General features: G+C 36.2%; 1 protein-coding gene across 5 annotated transcripts in view; it reads right to left on the bottom strand.

The window, feature by feature from the left end:
* TRHDE (thyrotropin releasing hormone degrading enzyme) overlaps positions 1 to 21747 on the bottom strand; it is a 583493-nt gene that overhangs the window by 151331 nt on the left and 410415 nt on the right. For all 5 annotated transcript variants that reach the window (XM_017019244.2, NM_013381.3, XM_017019243.3 and 2 more), the window contains one exon: positions 19793 to 19930. In XM_017019244.2, coding sequence (XP_016874733.1) covers positions 19793 to 19930 — 138 coding nt within the window. The remainder of the gene's footprint in view (positions 1 to 19792; positions 19931 to 21747) is intronic.

Here is a 21747-nt window from a genome sequence, read left to right as displayed (position 1 = left end):
AACTGGAAGAAAGGGTTCAGCGATGGAAGATGAAATGAATGAAACGAAGTGAGAAAGGAAGTTTAGAGAAAAAAGAATAAAAAGAAATGAGTAAAGCCGCCAAGAAATATGGGACTATGTGAAAAGACCAAATCTACATCTGATTGGTGACCTGAAAGTGACGGGGAGAATGGAACCAAGTTGGAAAACACTCTGCAGGATATTATCCAGGAGAACTTCCCCAACCTAGCAAGGCAGGCCAACATTCAGATTCAGGAAATACAGAGAACGCCACAAAGATACTCCTCGAGAAGAGCAACTCCAAGACACATAATTGTCAGATTCACCAAAGTTGAAATGAAGGAAAAAATGTTAAGGGCAGCCAGAGGGAAAGGTTGGGTTACCCACAAAGGGAAGCCCATCAGACTAACAGCAGATCTCTCGGCAGAAACTCTACCAGCCAGAAGAGAGTGGGGGCCAATATTCAACATTCTTAAAGAAAAGAATTTTCAACCCAGAATTTCATATCCAGCCAAACTAAGCTTCATAAGTGAAGGAGAAATAAAATACTTTACAGACAAGCAAATGCTGAGAGATTCTGTCACCACCAGGCCTGCCCTAAAAGAGCTCCTGAAGGAAGCACTAAACATGGAAAGGAACGACCAGTACCAGCCGCTGCAAAATCATGCCAAAATGTAAAGACCATCGAGGCTAGGAAGAAACTGCATCAACTAACGAGCAAAATAACCAGCTAACATCATAATGACAGGATCAAATTCACACATAACAATATTAACTTTAAATGTAAATGGACTAAATGCTCCAATTAAAAGACACAGACTGGGAAATTGGATAAAGAGTCAAGACCCATCAGTGTGCTGTATTCAGGAAACCCATCTCACATGCAGAGACACACACAGGCTCAAAATAAAAGGATGGAGGAAGATCTACCAAGCAAATGGAAAACTAAAAAAGGCAGGGGTTGCAATCCTAGTCTCTGATAAAACAGACTTTAAACCAACAAAGATCAAAAGAGACAAAGAACGCCATTACATAATGGTAAAGGAATCAATTCAACAATAAGAGCTAACTATCCTAAATATATATGCACCCAATACAGGAGCACCCAGATTCATAAAGCAAGTCCTGAGTGACCTACAAAGAGACTTAGACTCCCACACATTAATAATGGGAGACTTTAACACCCCACTGTCAACATTAGACAGATCAATGAGACAGAAAGTCAACAAGGATACCCAGGAATTGAACTCAGCTCTGCACCAAGCAGACCTAATAGACATCTACAGTACTCTCCACCCCAAATCAACAGAATATACATTTTTTTCAGCACCACACCACACCTATTCTAAAATTGACCACATACTTGGAAGTAAAGCTCTCCTCAGCAAACGTAAAAGAACAGAAATTATAACAAACTATCTCTCAGACCACAGTGCAATCAAACTAGAACTCAGGATTAAGAATCTCACTCAAAACCGCTCAATTACATGGAAACTGAACAACCTGCTCCTGAATGACAACTGGGTACATAATGAAATGAAGGCAGAAATAAAGATGTTCTTTGAAACCAATGAGAACAAAGACACAACATACCAGAATCTCTGGGACGCATTCAAAGCAGTGTGTAGAGGGAAATTTATAGCACTAAATGCCCACAAGAGAAAGCAGGAAAGATCCAAAATTGACACCCTAACATCACAATTAAAAGAACTAGAAAAGCAACAGCAAACACATTCAAAAGCTAGCAGAAGGCAAGAAATAACTAAAATCAGAGCAGAACTGAAGGACATAGAGACACAAAAAACCCTTCAAAAAATTAATGAATCCAGGAGCTGGTTTTTTGAAAGGATCAACAAAACTGATAGACCGCTAGCAAGACTAATAAAGAAAAAAAGAGAGAAGAATCAAACAGACGCAATAAAAAATGATAAAGGGGATATCACCACCGATCCCACAGAAATACAAACTACCATCAGAGAATACTACAAACACCTCTATGCAAATAAACTAGAAAATCTAGAAGAAATGGATAAATTCCTCGACACATGCACTCTCCCAAGACTAAACCAGGAAGAAGTTGAATCTCTGAATAGACCAATAACAGGAGCTGAAATTGTGGCAATAATCAATAGCTTACCAACCAAAAAGAGTCCAGGACCAGATGGATTCACAGCCAAATTCTACCAGAGGTACAAGGAGGAACTGGTACCATTCCTTCTGAAACTATTCCAATCAATAGAAAAAGAGGGAATCCTCCCTAACTCATTTTATGAGGCCAGCATCATCCTGATACCAAAGCCTGGCAGAGACACAACCAAAAAAGAGAATTTTAGACCAATATCCTTGATGAACATTGATGCCAAAATACTCAATAAAATACTGGCAAACTGAATCCAGCAGCACATCAAAAAGCTTATCCACCATGATCAAGTGGGCTTCATCCCTGGGATGCAAGGCTGGTTCAATATATGCAAATCAATAAATGTAATCCGCATATAAACAGAACCAAAGACAAAAACCACATGATTATCTCAATAGATGCAGAAAAGGCCTTTGACAAAATTCAACAACGCTTCATGCTAAAAACTCTCAATAAATTAGGTATTGATGGGACGTATCTCAAAATAATAAGAGCTATCTATGACAGACCCACAGCCAATATCATACTGAATGGGCAAAAACTGGAAGCATTCCCTTTGAAAACTGGCACAAGACAGGGATGCCCTCTCTCACCACTCCTATTCAACATAGTGTTGGAAGTTCTGGCCAGGGCAATTAGGCAGGAGAAGGAAATAAAGGGTATTCAATTAGGAAAAGAGGAAGTCAAATTATCCCTGTTTGCAGACAACATGATTGTATATCTAGAAAACCCCATTGTCTCAGCCCAAAGTCTCCTTAAGCTGATAAGCAACTTCAGCAAAGTCTCAGGATACAAAATCAATGTACAAAAATCACAAGCATTCTTATACACCAATAACAGACAAACAGAGAGCCAAATCATGAGTGAATTCCCATTCACAATTGCTTCAAAGAGAATAAAATACCTAGGAATTGAACTTACAAGGGATGTGAAGGACCTCTTCAAGAAGAACTATAAACCACTGCTCAATGAAATAAAAGAGGATACAAACAAATGGAAGAACATTCCATGCTCATGGGTAGGAAGAATCAATACCATGAATATGGCCATACTGCCCAAGGTAATTTACAGATTCAATGCCATCCCCATCAAGCTACCAATGACTTTCTTCACAGAATTGGAAAAAACTACTTTAAAGTTCATATGGAACCAAAAAAGAGCCCGCATCGCCAAGTTAATCCTAAGCCAAAAGAACAAAGCTGGAGGCATCACGCTACCTGACTTCAAACTATACTACACAAGGCTACAGTAACCAAAACAGCATGGTACTGGTACCAAAACAGAGATATAGATCAATGGAACAGAACAGAGCCCTCAGAAATAGCGCCACATATCTACAACTATCTGATCTTTGACAAACCTGAGAAAAACAAGCAATGGGGAAAGGATTCCCTATTTAATAAATGGTGCTGGGAAAACTGGCTAGCCATATGTAGAAAGCTGAAACTGGATCCCTTCCTTACACCTTATACAAAAATCAATTCAAGATGGATTAAACACTTAAACATTAGACCTAAAACCATAAAAACCCTAGAAGAAAACCTAGGCATTACCATTTAGGACATAGGCATGGGCAAGGACTTCATGTCTAAAACACCAAAAGCAATGGCAACAAAAGCCAAAATTGACAAATGGGATCTAATTAAACTAAAGAGCTTCTGCACAGCAAAAGAAACTACCAATCAGAGTGAACAGACAACCTACAACATGGGAGAAAATTTTCGCAACCTACTCATCTGACAAAGGGCTAATATCTAGAATCTACAATGAAGTCAAACAAATTTACAAAAAAAACAAACAGACATCCCCATCAAAAAGTGAGCAAAGGACATGAACAGACACTTCTCAAAAGAAGACATTTATGCAGCCAAAAAACACATGAAAAAATGCTCACCATCACTGGCCATCAGAGAAATGCAAATCAAAACCACAATGAGATACCATCTCACACCAGTTAGAATGGCAATCATTAAAAAGTCAGGAAACAACAGGTGCTGGAGAGGATGTGGAGAAATAGGAACACTTTTACACTGTTGGTGGGACTGTAAACTAGTTCAACCATTGTGGAAGTCAGTGTGGCAATTCCTCAGGGATCTAGAACTAGAAATACCATTTGACCCAGCCATCCCATTACTGGGTATATACCCAAAGGACTATAAATCATGCTGCTATAAAGACACATGCACACGTATGTTTATTGCAGCACTATTCACAATAGCAAAGACTTGGAACCAACCCAAATATCCAACAATGATAGACTGGATTAAGAAAATGTGGCACATATACACCATGGAATACTATGCAGCCATAGAAAATGATGAGTTCATGTCCTTTGTAGGGACATGGATGAAATTGGAAATCATCATTCTCAGTAAACTATCGCAAGAACAAAAAACCAAACACCACATATTCTCACTCATAGGTGGGAATTGAACAATGAGAACACATGGACACAGGAAGGGGAACATCACACTCTGGGGACTGTTCTGGGGTGGGGGGAGGGGGGAGGGATAGCATTAGGAGATATACCTAATGCTAGATGACGATTTAGTGGGTGCAGCGCACCAGCATGGCACATGTATACATGTGTAACTAACCTGCACATTGTGCACATGTACCCTGAAACTTAAAGTAAAATAATAATAAATTAAAAAAAAAAAGAAAAAGTAAGTGTAGTTAAGGCTTGAATCCATGTGTTACCAATTCTCACTGCCTTTTCTATACATCTTTATGTCTCCTGCATAACTCTTGAATACACAGTATCTTCAGTTCTACCATTTAGGTTATAATTCTCTCTTTAGCTCTTTTTTAATCTGTGATGAACTTATCTGTCATATTTACTATATTCTTATTTCATTTTCATTTCTAAGAATTCTCACTGTTCTTTATGTCTGCTTACATTTTGCTTATAATGTCTCTTTTTATTTCCTCAAATTTATTAATATATTATTTTATGGTCTAAGTCATGCATCCAGTGTCTTAGTCATATGCACAAATGATTCTTCTCTTAATTGTTTCTGCTGTCTCATATTCGTGGAAACTTGTTTCTTCATGTGACTGGTGATTTTTGACTGTAAATTGGTTTTTTTCCTTGAGATTTATCTGTGGAAATCTTTTGAGATGAGATATGAAGTTGGGCTTTTCTAGAAAGGATATGTTTTAGTGTCTGTATGGTGTCTGGGGATACCTTCTAGTCCAGGACCAGCCATTTTAAATTAAATCCTGGCCTGAGGTTCACAGTGTACCAAGATGGTTTTCATCTGAGATCCGATGCCAGTCAAAGGTTGCTTGTAGTTGCAAATTTTCAGGAGAAATTTTCTTTCCGTTTTTACTTGCTGCCAAAGTTTGGAACAGGTAATTTCTTTGTAGTCCCCTGAGGATGGGGATAGGTTTATTTCTAGTTCATCTGTGTGCTAAGGTGTAACTCTTTAAGGTCCTGGCTTTATGGGAGGCCTCCCATTAAACTTCTCACCTTCGGCTTTGTCTTATTTTCTTACCTCTGTGAAACCTTAAAAATCGTGCTTAAACTCTCCTGCTTGGGAAAATGCCTTTAAGACAAAAGCCAGATTTTGTACTTTTAAAAAAAAATCTCTGTGTCTTCAAGGTAACAGTATGTTGTATGAAATCACAGTTAAGCCTCCTAATACTGATTCAAAATTAACTCAGAAAAAGCTGAAAGACATTCTACTTTTAAAAGCACAGAAATCAACGACTTGATTTTGGTTCTCCTAGGAAATATGCAACAGCATGAATGACAATAAATATAGACAACATGTAGTCTCTAGATAATTTTCTCAGTAGGTCCTCAAATGGTCCTTAGCCTCCCACGAAAGAATCCATAAAAACATCTGGGAGAGTATGTCCAAAGAAACAATTTCATCATTTCCAAGGAAATAACATATTTACCTGAGAAAATAATACTTGGGCCAAAGAGAAAGGGTGTCTTTGTTGTTCGACTAGAATTGTATCTGCCCTGTGGAGCAACATAGTTTAATCTGTTTGAAGCTGAAACTCTGATTGAGGTTTATATATGTCTTTAATTAATAAAGCCCTGAATTCTTAAATATTTCAAAAATACAATTTTTATAATGAACTGAGATAATATTTAGGTCCACACGAAAAGGAAATAGTGATAAAAGGTGACCTCAATGGTAAAAACAACGGTGTACTAATGCTTCTGAACATTATGTGTAACATTGGTAACTGTATAGGGCTTTTGAAGATGTTTATATTTCATTAACATACCATATATGGTTGATTAACAATTGGTGTGTGGTTATGCTGATTAAAAGTCATTCCTCAAATGCCAAAACACAATTCATTCACAATTATTCCATAGGAAAGATCAATTCAGTTCAACCTCCTTCAATATTGTTAGATGTACAAACACTACTTATATTCTAAATATGTTTATTCTGAATTTTCTCCAAGTGTTCTTTCTGTAAATAGGAATTTTTATTCCTAGTCTCCTTTTCCTTCCTGTATACTTCTCATTTATCAAAATGTCAACCCTTGATTATAGTTGCCTGCTTATTTATCCTTTACATCTTAATTTATTCCTTTCTAAGTACTATAGAATTCTGTCAATCTGAAAAATCTATAAAAAATCTATATTACCATTTATATTATATATTATATATGATTATATATGATAATATGATATATATGATTATATATAATTATATATATGATTATATATGATTATTATATGATTATATATTATATTATATATGATTATATATGAATATATATAATCATATATATTATATATAATATAATTATAACTATATAATATATTATTATTATATAATTATAACTATATAATATATTATAATTATATAATTATAACATATTATATAATATATATTATATAGTTATAATTATATAATAATAATTATATATTATATATTCCATTTATACTAACTGAAATACTAACTTTTTATTTTTCATTATGACTACTGATGAAGTCTAGCATAAATAAACCCACTGCAAAAGTCATTAGAACTAAGCTTTTTGCATAAGCAGAAGACAAGAACAACTGTAGCTGTAGAAGTATTTCTGAAAGCCGTGAAAGCAGAATCTCACTACAGCCAAGTTTTGCAAGCTAAGGGTTACATGGCTCTGACCCGTAAGCTTCTCATATCATGAGATCACCACTTTGGCTCTCACAAAGCCAGCGTAAGAAAGCAGAAGAATAGAGTCAAAACCAACATTGCACCTTCTTAAGCTTTTCAGCAAAGTAAAAAAGACAGAAACTGTGTGCAACAGAGGAATTCAAAAGTAGCTATCTAAACCATTAGTTAACAACAATACAATGTGACACAAAGAGGGACAAGAGAGGATAACAAGAATCCTTTGAATAGGATTAATCTATTCCTTACTCTATTCAATAACCTGCTACCTATTTTTATTAAATACAGACTTTTTCTTTCAGTCTCACCAAGTAAATGCCAAATCAGAGATGGACATATAATGGGGAGAAGTGCAAGTTTCTAGTATGAAAACTAGCTGTTTTAAGTGTTAAGGTTCGCACAGGAAAAAATAAAAAGAAACCATTAAATGATGATGAATCGGTGAAATATGTGTGCAAAGGAAAACTTGCCTCCATCAGCAAAATGCACAAGTTAATAATTTACCAGTAAGTGGTAAAGGCATTTATCACAAAAATATCAATAAAACTATCTCCTCCCACCATGTACATTTTCTTTATGAAGGCAAATAGGTATTTTCTTTACAGAATGACTTAAAATTGCTGCTGGTCCAGTATAATGTTGATTTAGCTTCAAAAGCAAAGTCTGGTAACAAAGAAAAGGAATAACAAAAATATATCTAGAAATTATTTTGATGATGTTTAATAGGTATCAGTAGACCACTCAGAGACAGATGGGAATTATTTTTAAATTTTTTCTGTTTACCTAAGAAGCTAGTAGTTCTTTTCTAAACCACTCACACTTCTATATTTATAACAAAAAGAAATTTAATGATACAAACATAAATATGCAAATACAAAATTAATTTCTGATAAGCTGTAAATTTTATATTATCTGACTATTATGTAACGTGAAGTTAATATTCAGGAGGAATTTTTTCAGTAGTTCTCCAATTTAATTTATTAATTTGGGAGCACATTTTAAATTTTATTTCTAAAGAATATCAAAGAATGAAGATTTCACAAGCCTAAGTACTTCATATTAAAATGTTTAATTGCCTTTTATGTCAAGAAGTTCTTTCTTATATTAACTGAAATTTCTTCCTGTAATTTAAGTCCATCTATCTTACTCTGACCTTGATGTTGACAGAGAAATGGTGAGCAGCCTTCCCATAACGACCATTCACATATTAGAGCCAATTATTAAGTCACCTCTTAGCCCTCTATCCTCCAGGGTGGACATATGTAAGTTCTTTAGCCTTTTCTATAGGCTTTATCTCCAAATGTTCCAAAATCAATCTCTCTTTCTCCCTTCTTTTTCTGGCTTTTTCTCCTTTGCCTAATTTTTTCAGTCCCAAGCTTGTTCACATTTTCCTTATGAGATGATCATAACCAGTGCTTATACTTCTCAGATTTTACAACCTTTATTTTTTATATGCATGCTAGTATGTTACTTACTTCTAAATAAGACATTTTTTTTCATTCATGGAATGAAAACCCAAATCATATTTTCTATTTAAACAATGGCACAATAGACAAGAATCCTGGCAGAATGAAAAGCATGAGTTAGAAACAATAAGATGTGAATCCCATGTCTGACACTTAGGAGCTGGAGCACATCATTAAACTTCCTAGGCCTCTATTTACTAAATTGAAGATAATAATTTATACCTTATATGTTACAAGTGTGGGAGATTAAATAAGTGGATGTCCAGTGGCAAAAAGTAGCTGATACTATTATCGCCTATTATTGCCATCATATAGCACACTAAAAGCCTATTGTCCAACCATTTTACAGAAATGACCACAGGTGTTATATTTAATCAATAAATGTAATATACCAGATACTGTAGAATATCTAAAGAGTATCACAAAATAGTGATCTATTATATTCATTTGTTAGTATATATGTAACTGATTCGCTGTGAGTAGGGAAAGCAAAGTCTAAGAAGGACCTGTTTAGAAAAATAAGAGCCAGGAAGACTTGCAGAACAGGAGGCTAATTGTGCCTGAGGCAGGAGAGGGAAGAGACAGCAGGAGAGTAGCTGAGCTCACAGAAGGGGGTCCCATGAGGTCCAGGGCTGAGGGGTCAGGTCACATGTGATGAAACCCATTAGAAAACTAAATGACTGGGCAACACAATCTTTCTTTCCCCTCTGGAATTCATATGGAATTACCTTGGAAACTCCTTAATCCTATTTCAAGAGCCAACTCTTTTTCCTAATTCCTATAAACAGATGGGATCTTTCCCTCTGAAACACCAGAATGTTTTGTTTATATTGTTTTTCTGACATTTACTTTAATTTAACTCAACAAATACTTATTAGAGTGCTTACTGCACACAGGCAGTATAATAGGTATTGGAGATACATTAGTGATAAACCTAGACATAGATCTCTGCCTTTATGAAGCTCACATTCAATGGGGGAAAGTGGAAAGTCAAACAATATAGTAAACATAATAGGATCAGATTAAGAAAAATGAGTGGGAAAAAGACTGAAGGTGTCAATTCCCATTTTAAATGGGAGGTCTTCTTGAGAAGGTGACATTTAAGTAAAGGTTTCAAGGAGAGCAAGCTGGGACCATGACACTATGTGGAGTAACATTTTTCCTACAACGAGAAAGGCCAATTCAAAGGCCCTCATGTGGGAAGGAGTTTGGTAGAGCTCAGGGAAAACAAGGGAGCTGGTAGAACAGTAGCACCATGAGTTTAGGGAGAGTAATAGAGAAGAATTCAGATAGATAAGAAATAAAATAAGAGTCAGGGGTCTATAAGTACCTGGGGAGAATAGAATGAGTAGAGATCAGGAAGGGATTTGTGGGTCAAGACTGTGTCTTTTATTATCATTTTGTGTGTGCGGGGGGGTGCGGTGGTTATTATGGAATTTTCAGCAAAGAACTGGCACAATATGACACAGGTTTTATAAACATCACTCTGAATGCTTGATAAAGATAGGCTGTAGGAGAACAGGATTAAAAGCAGAGAGATGTTGCAGAAAATGATTCTGGCAAAATGGTGCTGATTCAGACTGGGGTGGTATATTAGTCTATTCTCGCATTGCTATAAAGAACTACCTGAACCTGGGTAATTTAGAAAATTTAAAGAAAAGAGGTTTAATTGGCTCACAGTTCCATAGGCTGTACAGGAAGCATGGCTGTGGAGGCCTCAGGAAACTTACAATCATAACAGAAGGCAAAGAGGAAGGAGGCACATCTTACATGGCTGGAGCAGAAGGAAGAAAAGAGCAGGGGGAGGTGCTACACACATTTAAACAGCCAGATCTCATGAGAACTCATTCACTATCATGAGAACAGCAAGGGGGAAATCCACCCCCATGATTCAATCACCTTCCACCAGGCCCTCCTCCAACACTGGGGATTGCAATTTAAAATGAGATTTCATGTCCTTCTCCCATCGCAAATACAATCATGCTTTCCCAGCAGTCCCCTAAAGTCTTAACTCATTCCAGCATTAACTCAAAAGTCCACAATCCAAAGTCTCATCTGAGATAAGGCAAACCTCTTCCACCTATAAGCCTATAAAATCCAAACAAGTTAGTTACTTCCAAGATAGAATGGGGATACAGGCATTGGGTAAATACTCCCATTCCAAAAGGGAGAAATTGGCTGAAACAAAGGGACTACAGGCCCCATGTAAGTCTGAAACCCAGCAGGGCAGTGATTAAATCTTAAAACTCCAGAATATCCTCCTTTGACTCCATGTCTTACATCCAGCTCACACTAATCCAAGGGTTAGGTTCCCAAGGCCTTAGGCAGCTCTGCCCCTGTAGCTTTGGGGGCTCAGTTCCCATGGCTGCTCTCAAGGTCTGGCATTGAGTGTTTGTGGCTTTCTAGGTACACGCTGCAAGCTGTTAATGGATCTATAATTCTAGGGTCTGGAGGATGGTAGCCCTCTTCTCACAGCCCCACTTGGCAATATCCCAGAGGGGATTCTGTGTGGGGGCTCTAACCCCACATTTCCCCTCCACACTGCCCTAGTAGAGATTCTCTATGAGGGCTCTGCCCCTGCAGCAGATTTCCACCTGGACACCCAGGCATTTTCACACATCCTCTGAAATCTAGGTGTAGGCTCCCAAGCCTCAACTCTTGTCCTCTTTGCACCCACAGGCTTAACACCACATGGAAGCCACCAAGAGTTATGGCTTACACCCTCTGAAGCTATGACCCAAGCTATACCTTGGCCCCTTTTAGCCACTGCTGGAGCTAGGGCAGCCACAATGCAGGGTGCCATGTCCCAAGACTGCACAGAGCAGCAGGGCTATGGGCATGGCCCATGAAACCATGCTTCCCTCCTAGGTCTCCAGGCCTATGATGGGAGGAGCTGCTAAAAGATCTCTAAAATGCCTTCAAGGCATTTTTCCCCATTGTCTTGGCTATTGACATTCAGCTCTTCTTATGCACATTTCTACAACCCACTTGAATTCCTCCCCGAAAATGGGTTTTTCTTTTCTATCACATGGCCAGGCTATGAATTTTCCAAACTTTTACACTCTGCTTCCCTTTTAAATTTAAGTTCCAGTTTCATACAATTTCAGATCATCTCACACATATGAGAACACACTATTAGAAACAGCCAGGCTACATCTTGAATGACTTGTTGCTTAGAAATTTCTTCCGCCAGATACCATAAACCATCACGCTCAAGTTCAAAGTTCAAAATAAGTTCCCATCTCCATCTGAGAACTCATCAGCCTGGCCATCTCTGTTCATATCAATATCAGCATTTTGGTCAAAATCATTCAAAAAGTCTCTAGTGAGTTCCAAACTTTCCCACGTCTTCCTGTCTTCTTCTGAGCCCTCCAAACTGTTTCAACCTCTGCCCATTATCCAGTTCCAAAGTTGCTTCCATATTTTCAGGTATCTTTACAGCAATGCCCCACTCCTGGTGCCAATTTTCTGTATTAGTTCTCACATTGCTATAAAGAATTACCTAAGACTGTGTAGTTCATAAAGAAAAGAGGTTTAATTGGCTCACAGTTTTGCAGGCTGTACAGGAAGCATGGGTTGGGAGGCCTCAGGAAACTTACAAACACAGTGGAAGGCAAAGAGGAAGGAGGCATATCTTACAAGGCTTGAGCAAGAGGAAGAAGAGAGTAGGGTGAGGTGGTATACATATTTAACAGCCAGATCTCATGAGAACTCACTCACTATCAGGAGAACAGCAAGGGGGAAATCTGCCCCCATGATCCAATCACCTCCCACCAGGCCCCTTCTCCAACAATGGGCATTATAATTTGACATGATATTTGGTTGAGGACACAAATTCAAACCTTATCTGGTGGCAACAGTGACAGGGATGAGAAGAGGTTAGATTCTGGAAATACTCTGATAGCAGAGACAAGATATCCTTGTCTCTGGATGGCAGGATCAAGGGTAGCCTGGGAGCTTGGAGTTGCCATCCACTGAGATGGTCCATATCATAACTTGCCTTGAAATATATTTATTTGTGAAAGACTTTGTAGATAAGAGCTCAGGATTCAAATTTAGATATATCTGACATCAAATCCTGAAATGTTTATTTGCTAAATATCTGATGCTGTGGCAATCACTTAAGTACCCAAGTGTCAGTTTTCTCGTCAGTAAAATGAGTTAAAAATGCCTGCATGCCAAGTTTTCTGTCAGGAATAAATGGGATAATACATGCAAAACATTTCACAAAATACATTGTACATAGTAAGTGATCATTAAATGATAGACATGCTTTTGTAGTACTCATAGGATAATCACTATTTTTATTTCATGTGTTTTATGTCTTCTATTGGGTTGCATTCTTTTCTTGTTTTGTTTGTTTGTTTGTTTGTTTGTTTGAAATAGGATTTTGCTCTCTTGTCCAGGCTGGAGTGCAGGAGATCTATTATAGCTCACTGTAGCCTCTAACTCCCAGACCCAAGCATTCCTCCTCCATCAACTTTCTGAATAGCTGGAACTAGAGACATGCACCATGATGCCTAGCTAATTTAAAAAAAAATGTTTGAATGTTTTGTAGAGACAGAGTCTCACTATGTTCACCAGACTTGAGTTGAACTCCTGGGCTCAAGCAGTCCTTCCATCTCAGCCTCTCAAAGTGCTGGGATTACAGGCATGAGCCATCATGCCCGGCTGGGTTGCATTGTTGAAGAAAGGCATCATCTTTTTTCCCCCTTGCAGAAATAAGGCATACTGTGTGTAGCGTTAATAGTGCTCTCTCTGTGCATTAATCATCATCTGACTGACATGATGTTGTGGATGGGGAGCCTGGTATTACAAGGGGTGATAGATACAAATGGATGATTGGCCTTTCCTATTCATTTCTAGAGATGATAGAAATTTCACATGTTGACTTCTGTTGGTCAAAGGATTTTCAAATATAAGGTGTGGAATATATTGGCAAAGCGCAGCAAGTTAAATTTCTACCACAATCACTTTTTAAAAAATTTATGTCCCCAATGATCCCTTGAAGATTTTTTCACTTGCTAATTCTCTTACCTTTTATTCTATGTAATTTTGTTTGGTGTACAGATATACTAACCACGACATAAGAATTGCTGAAAAAGTGTTCCTGCTTGTAAAGGATCCCCTTTAAAATTGAAGTTATTTTGAACCCTGTTCTTCTCTTCCAAGCTTGTAGCAACCCTCTCCACCTTGGCATCATATGTAAATTTAATGAGCATTCACTCACTTTCATCATCTAGGTCATTGGGTCACTGATTCTTGTTTCCTTTGTGCTTTTAGAACAAAGAGACTGTCTCAATCCATCTATTCCAGTCCTTCCTGTCTATGGACAGTATTTTCCTGCTTCCATTACACTTTAAGAATACAAGCATTTTCAATCTACTATTAAAATGGGAAACTTGTTATTTCACCAGATCTAATTTGTTAAATAGAGTAGTTTTCATGTTTTTCTCTTCCCACTCTAAAAAATGCTTGCAATTTTAGGAGTTTTTTATTCTTTTAATAATGGTCTTGGGACTATCCATATTGAACATTACTCAGTATTTCTTCAAAGGCAGTCAGCTCTTAAATTCAATCCCAAATTAGTAGCTGGTCTATTGGTTCCTAACCTTTATTTTTTTATAATCTTCTGTCCCGTTATAATACATTTCTTTATAAAAAGCTATTTAAAGTGTATTATAATTATTATTCAGGGAGAATAACAAAAAACAGAACTGGGAATAATCAGAATAATTATTAAGGAAATAATTACAAGAGATGATAAGCTAGCAAAACACTGATGCAATGAGGGGTTGACTGTTGGCAGAGGTTAATGTTGACTAGTAACAGAGATCTTTAGGGAGAAGAACACAGAAGAGCAGTGGCAAGAAATTATTGTGTTACATACAACATTTCAAAATATAAGTGATACATTATACAACTCCAGTCTCTACAATCTTTCCTGAATTTTCCAGATCTATCAATATTAACTCCATCTCTACATCTACAGGAATATTCTTTTAGGAATGCAATTTTAATTATCTGACTCCTCTGCTTTAAACTCTTCTTGGTTCTATCTGACCTGTTGGATAAAATACAAATTTCTGTCTGGGAGCAGTGGCTCACGCCTGTAATCCCAGCACTTTGGGAGGCTGAGGCAGGCAGATCATGAGGTCAGGAGTTCAAGACCAGCCTGGCCAATATGGTGAAACCTCGTCTCTACTAAAAATACAAGAATTAGCCAGTCGTGGTGGTGGGCACCCATAGTCCCAGCTGCTCAGGAGGCTGAGGCAGAAGAATCACTTGAACCCGGGAGGCAGAGGTTACAGTGAGCTGAGATCATGCCACTGCACTCCAGCCTGAGCGACAGAGCGAGACTGTCTCAAAAAAAAAAAAAAAAAATTTTCTTAGTGAGAAAGGAAATGTCTTCCAAGTTCATATCCAGCTTATTCTTCCAGCCTATCTGCTACCCAGAATTCACATTCTGCTATGATCATGTTTAACTCTTTGATGTTCCACTTAATCACCAGTTTTCTTTTCTGAGCTTCCTCTAAAGAATGATTTTCTTGTTTTTTTACAGTTCCCCTCTACTCCCCTGTCTCGTGACTGTATCTTGTATATATTTCTGTCATAACTCCTTAGATTCTGAGGTGGCATCCATTACTTTTTTCTACTGATCATTTTCTTTCAGAAATTGCTCCTCCTCTACTTTGAGTGATCCCAGGGGGCCTACCCACTCTGGGACTTTTGTCTCACATCACAGAGGATGAGCTCATGACCTTCACTGACCAGTCAGAATACCCCATCCCTGTGGACACAAGGATTGGCCAGTAATAATCTATTTCCTAATCAAAACAAATCATAGCCCTTTGGGGAAACAGATATAGCTTCTATTGGATGGGAGTCAATTTACTCCTTCTCTGAGCTCATTAGGGTCACAAGATTGAGGCCCGTATGAGATGAGTCTTAGCATATCTTAAGGATCATCTAGAAATTAAGTCAGATAGAGAAAGAGATTCAATAAACTGAAGAAAGGTAGATTTCTGATGATACTGTAAATACGTAATTCAACTATTCTGAAAGTTAATACTACATATCAAATTTACCCATTATTTAGTCAACAAGATTGAATAAATGGCTTAAGATGACTTCAGGTAGGTGTCAACATTTAATATGGAAATATTGCTGGATAACACTCATATGTTACTGCACTGGTTTATTTATATGTTTTCTCTCCTTTGTGTATTATTGATTGTTATATCTCTTCTACTCAGCACACAGTGCCTAGAACATAAGCACAGGCTTATCAAATGATTTTGGAATAAATGTTCCAGCCAAACTTGTTAATCAAACATGAAAATAATTAAGAATACTGGCTCTGGAACCTGATTTTCTGGGAAACATATCCTTGAATTTACCATAACTCAACATACTTACCTTTAAAGTGAGGATTATGATCATAACAACCCCATCAGATGCTTATAAGAATTAAATTATATAATAAATGTAAAAATCTTAGTTCGGTGACTAGTACAGAGTATCCATGTAATAAATGTTAGCAGTTATTATTTATGTCTCCAGAATCATCTATATTACCTGTCATACATCCCAGAATGATGTGGTTTAACCTACAAAACCCAACATAGTTTACCTTTGTTCCACTTACAAAGTAATTGGTTATTACTCATTATGCACATACTAGTTTTCTTATAGGAAGAAACTGAGTGAAGCCAAATCAAAGAACAAGGCTAAGAAACTGAATTTACATAAAGGCCTGATGCTGAGATTATGAAAATGAAGTCCCTGAAATTTCAGCCTCAATGTTTTAACCCTCATTTCTCCATATTCACATTTGAAAATTATTTTTCGGATATGCCAGCAGATAACTGGGTCACTATTTTTCTCCACAGTTTTAGATGTTTGATTTGGTACTACGTGAGTGAATCCACACAATGAAGGCCCATCAAGAAAGCATGATGAATAAGTGGACAGAAAATCAATAAGGATACAGAACACTCGAACAACTCTATCAACCAACCTCACTTAACTGGCATTTATAGAACACTCTAGCTAACACTAGTGGAATACATATTCTTTTGAAGTGGATACAGTACATTTACCAACACATATCAACTTATGGGCCATAAAATAAACCATAATAAATCTAGGAAGATTCAAGACATACAGAGTATATTCACTGACCACAATAAAATTAAATAAGAAATGAATAACAGAAAATTTTCTGGAAAAATCTTCTAATATTTGTAATCTAAATAATACACTCTGAATAAGACACGAGGCAATTAACAAATGAAATGGATAATTAGCAAGTATCTTAAAGTGAATGAAAATGAAACTTCAACATATCAAAATTTGGGAGATTTCCTAAGTTGTACACTTAGGAAAAAATTTACTGAATAAAGGCTTAAAATGGAACAGAAGAAAGGTCTCAAGTTAATGACCTCAGCTTCTACCTTAGGAAAGTAGAGAAAAGAAGAATTTAAATTCAAAGTAGGTAGAAAAAGGAAATATTGATTAGAGAGCATATCTATGAAATAGAAAACAAGAGAGAAAATCAATTACAACAAAGGATGCTTTTTGAGATCAATAAAATTTATAAATGTCCAGCTAGACAAATCACAAAAAAAGGAATAATACACAAATTACCAATATCTGGAATGAAAGAGGTTATATGATTAGAGATGCTGCAGTTATTAAAGGGATAATAAGGGAATATATCCTGTAAAACTTTATGTCAATAAAGTAAACATTTTAGATGAAATGGGCGAAGTGCGTGAGAAAGAAACTACCAATGCTCGCATTAAAATAAATAAATAACCCACCATATATTAACAAAATTAAATCATTAGTTAAAAACCTTCCCAGGAAGAAAATTTCAGGTCCCTACTGCTATACTGGTAAATTCTAACAAACATTCAAGAAAGACATAATATAAATTTTATACAAATTCTCCGAGAAAGTTGAAAAAGATAATAGTTTCCATTGCATGATGCTAGCACTATAGTGACAACAAGGTGAAAGACGTTACAAGAAAGAAAATTACATACTAATATCCCTCATTAGCCCAGATGCAAAATTTCTAAACATTTTTTTAGCAAATTGAATCCAACAATTTATAAAAAGGATAATATATTAGGACTAAATGACATTTGTCTCAGGAATGCAAAGATAGTCTAACATTAAAAAATTAATCATTATAATTCACCATATTAACAAACTAAAAAACAAAAAAAATATAACCATCTTGATAGATTCTGGAGAAAAGCATTGAATTGAGTCAACATCCATTTCTGATTAAAACTTTTAGCAATGGCAAAATAGCATGCAACATCTTCAACCTGATAAAAGGCATTTATAAATATTTAGAGACATCATACCTAATGGATAAAGACTGAAGGTATTGCTTCTAAAATTAGGAACAGCACAAGGGTTTGCTCTCACCACTTCTATTTAACATTGTACCAGAAAAATATGCAAAAATGAATTGCATTCTATGTACAGCAAGACAAAAATTAGAAATGAAATTTCAAAATAATACTATTTACAATAGCCCAGAAATGTAAAATACTTAGGGATAAATCTGAAAAAAAATATGAAAAATGTATTCACTGAGAACTACATCATTGATAGAAATAAAGGGGACCTAAAGGAACTGGAGGCATACTGTATTCATGGGTCAGTCAATATTGCTAAGATGTCAAGTCTCCCAAATTGTTTTATAAACATAATGCACATTTCCTGCAATTCCAGTATAATCTTTGTAGGAGTTTACAAACTCATTCTTAAACTCATATGCAAAGGACCAAAGAAACTTAAAAAAAAAAAAAAAAAAAAAAAGAACAAAGTTGGAGGACTAACAGGACCCAACCAAAATATTTTTTGTGTGTTCACTACAATAAATGCTTCAGGGTATAACTTCTAACTTCCTAGTTATTTCCATGCGGTTATTCATGATATCTTTTTATCCCTCACAGAGTATCGAGAATAGTATTCCAGGCTGGGTGCCATGGCTCAAACCTGTAATCCCAGCACTTTGGGAGGCAGAGGCGGGTGGATTACTTGAGAACAGGAGTTTGAGACCAGCCTGGCCAACATGGTGAAACCCTGTCTCTACTAAAAATACAGAAATTAGCCAGGCATAGTGGAACATGCCTGCAGTCCCAGCTACTCAGGAGGCTAAGGCAGGAGAATCACTTGAACCCGGGAGGTGAAGGTTGCAGTGAGCCAAGATGGCGTCACTGCACTCCAGCCTGGCGACAGAGTGAGACTCCATCTCAAAAGAAAAAAAAAGTACATAGAAATTCCAACAAATGCAATTTAACCTACACTAAAAATCACAGCAGACTTTGATCCTATTTTAACTATTATTAAGTGGCTAGTGCATGTAAAACACTAAGAGGCACATCATCATGTTAAAATTAGAACAACTAAGAGATACAGATATAAAGAAAAATCCTAATCCAAGTAACAATGGGAAAAATTCATATTTGCCTTATTTTTATATCTAGTCATTGGCTCAAAATTATTTGTTGCCATTGAAAGTCTAGTATTTTAAAATTTCTTTTGTTATGCTTAGTTATTCAGGAAATGTTTAATTTTCAAAATCTCTTTTAAATAATGTTTATAAGATGCATGCATCATGTCATTACCTATATCCATTTGCATCAGCCCATCAAAATAAGTTAGTATTTAAGGGCATTGGTGAAAATTAATTTGTCACTATATGGGTCAGCCCTCTTATTAATAATAATAAAAACTGACATTTACATAACATCATTTGTAGAGCAATTTCATATCGAGTCTCCAAATATTTATTGATTAATATTTCCAATATTTCTATGCATTATTTGGCAAATATTAATCTCCATTTTGCCAACTTTTAAAGCAAAGCTGTAGCTCATAAAATGACACGAACCTAGTGACTCTGTTTTCTAAATCACAGTCTATGTCTATCTGCCCGGAAAAAAAGAAAAATACATACATCTAACATGAATTAGTTTAGCTATCTTGGTAATGAAATATCTAATTGGCACTTTGTTCTTTATTCCCACCTTTTTATATGCGATCCAGTCAAACACCCTGTCAATATCTGTTGCCTGCAGCACTTCCTGTGATACTGGATGGGAACTGGCCAAACCGTCCAGCAGCATCACTTCATGCAGAACATCGGTCAGAAACCTCTGCTTTTCCTGCAATACAGCAGACGGGGCAATATCATAGGTGATTCATAGTTAGACATATGTATATGATGACATGAACATAATGTGTGTCACTTAATTGCTGATGTTCATCAGTCTTCCAAGGCATGACTCAACTCTAAAGTGAACCCAATAAAAATGCTCCTTAAGTTACTCTAAAATGAAGGTGGTTGACTTAAGCACACCACGAAACAAAATCAATGGACACTACATTGGTCCCTAAATAGATAAAAACAGTGAACTCTGTGTTTTAACAGTGGCTAAAGCAAATGTGGACAATGGGCAGGCAATAACAACAATGAGAAGATGCAGACTTATTTGTGCATTTTACAAGGGTAAACATTATAATTCCAGTCCCAAATCACCTTTTAGGTAAGTTAAATATAAGAAGTACTAACCTTCTGTTATTCATACCATGATTTCTAGTAACATTTGAACAGCTCTTTTTTTCCCTGTCCTTCCCTCCCTTCCTGTCCCCTTCACACACTCACACAAAACACACACACACACACACACACACACACATTTATTTTCTGAAAAAATTTCAAGAGACCACAACTAGTAATAAAAGGCACTCTTCACATCAAGCTAGAATACTGGTGGGTGTTATTTGGGAATTCAAAATAGTGGACATAAAGTAGAGATCAATAGGTATTAATAATCCATTGCCATGAAGAAATGAAAATAGAAAAATCATAAGACTTCCATTCTCTGCATGTTGAGACATTAGTATTTGCTCTGGAGAAAGCTGATTTGCTATGTTAAAAAATAAACTAAGGAAAAAGTACTTCTCTGTTTTTGTTTTTTGGTTTGTTTGTTTTAGAAAGTCTGCTTTAAAGAAACAGCTAGGTTTTTGTTAATAGAAATGCTGGCAGCTAGTAGTCTTCCTGGCCTCCTGCCTTCATTGAAGGAGGAGAGTAAGAAAAAAGAAATTGCAAAATATAAAGAAGGCTAAATAGCCCCTAGATAGTTGTGACCTAAGGAGTATCATTACAGAGATTAAGACTCCAACGCTTAAATTGCTCTAGCTAATTCTGAACTCACTCCTGGTGTCTCCTAGTTTTGAGCCCAGCAGATAAACAGCATGTTATTTCTGAGTGAGTTGTAATTTCAAGCTAAGAGTGCACCAATCCTGGATTTAAAGAAATGGAAATGGAGAAAAAATACGCCAAGAAAAGAATTGTTGACTGGACATAAATGTGTGTGGTAATTTAAACCTGGCTTTAAAGAAAGATTTTTTTCATACTCATTTGCTCAATGATTTAGTATGTTTAATTGATTATTTAATTAGGTATCCGACTAGATACTGTAGGGTTTGTTTTCTAATAGATTATGTTTTATAGTCTATGGCCCATATATTTAACTTCTTCAGTCCTCTCTTGCTCTAAGAGCTTCACAGCAATGGTCTTTGCTCCATCCAAGAGGATTATATGGTAATGACTGAATCAAATCACGCTTTGAGTCCCAGAGGGCTTCTCCAGACCATAAGAGGCCACAGATGAGAAGTTCAAACTTAGACTGAATTAAATGACAAATATGACATAAATACTATATTTCTTCTCAAACCAATTTCCTAATTCCAGACAAATTAAAAAGAGTAGAATTAGACCTTATGCTTTAAAATTTTAAGATTAATAACATTAATACTCACATTGTTCATTTAAGTCCACTGAAAAGCAACACTAAGATCTCAGAAAAATAGCATAGTCTTAGAGAATAAGAAAAAATTATGTATCAATTTCAAAAGAAAAAATTTAATGTTATTTTTAAGCACATATACGACCTTGTTATTCATTCAATTTTAAAAT

The sequence above is a fragment of the Homo sapiens genome, chromosome 12, assembly GCF_000001405.40.
Source record: "Homo sapiens chromosome 12, GRCh38.p14 Primary Assembly".
Taxonomy (NCBI): Eukaryota; Metazoa; Chordata; class Mammalia; order Primates; family Hominidae; genus Homo; species Homo sapiens.
This window is presented reverse-complemented; position numbering and strand designations above follow the sequence as displayed.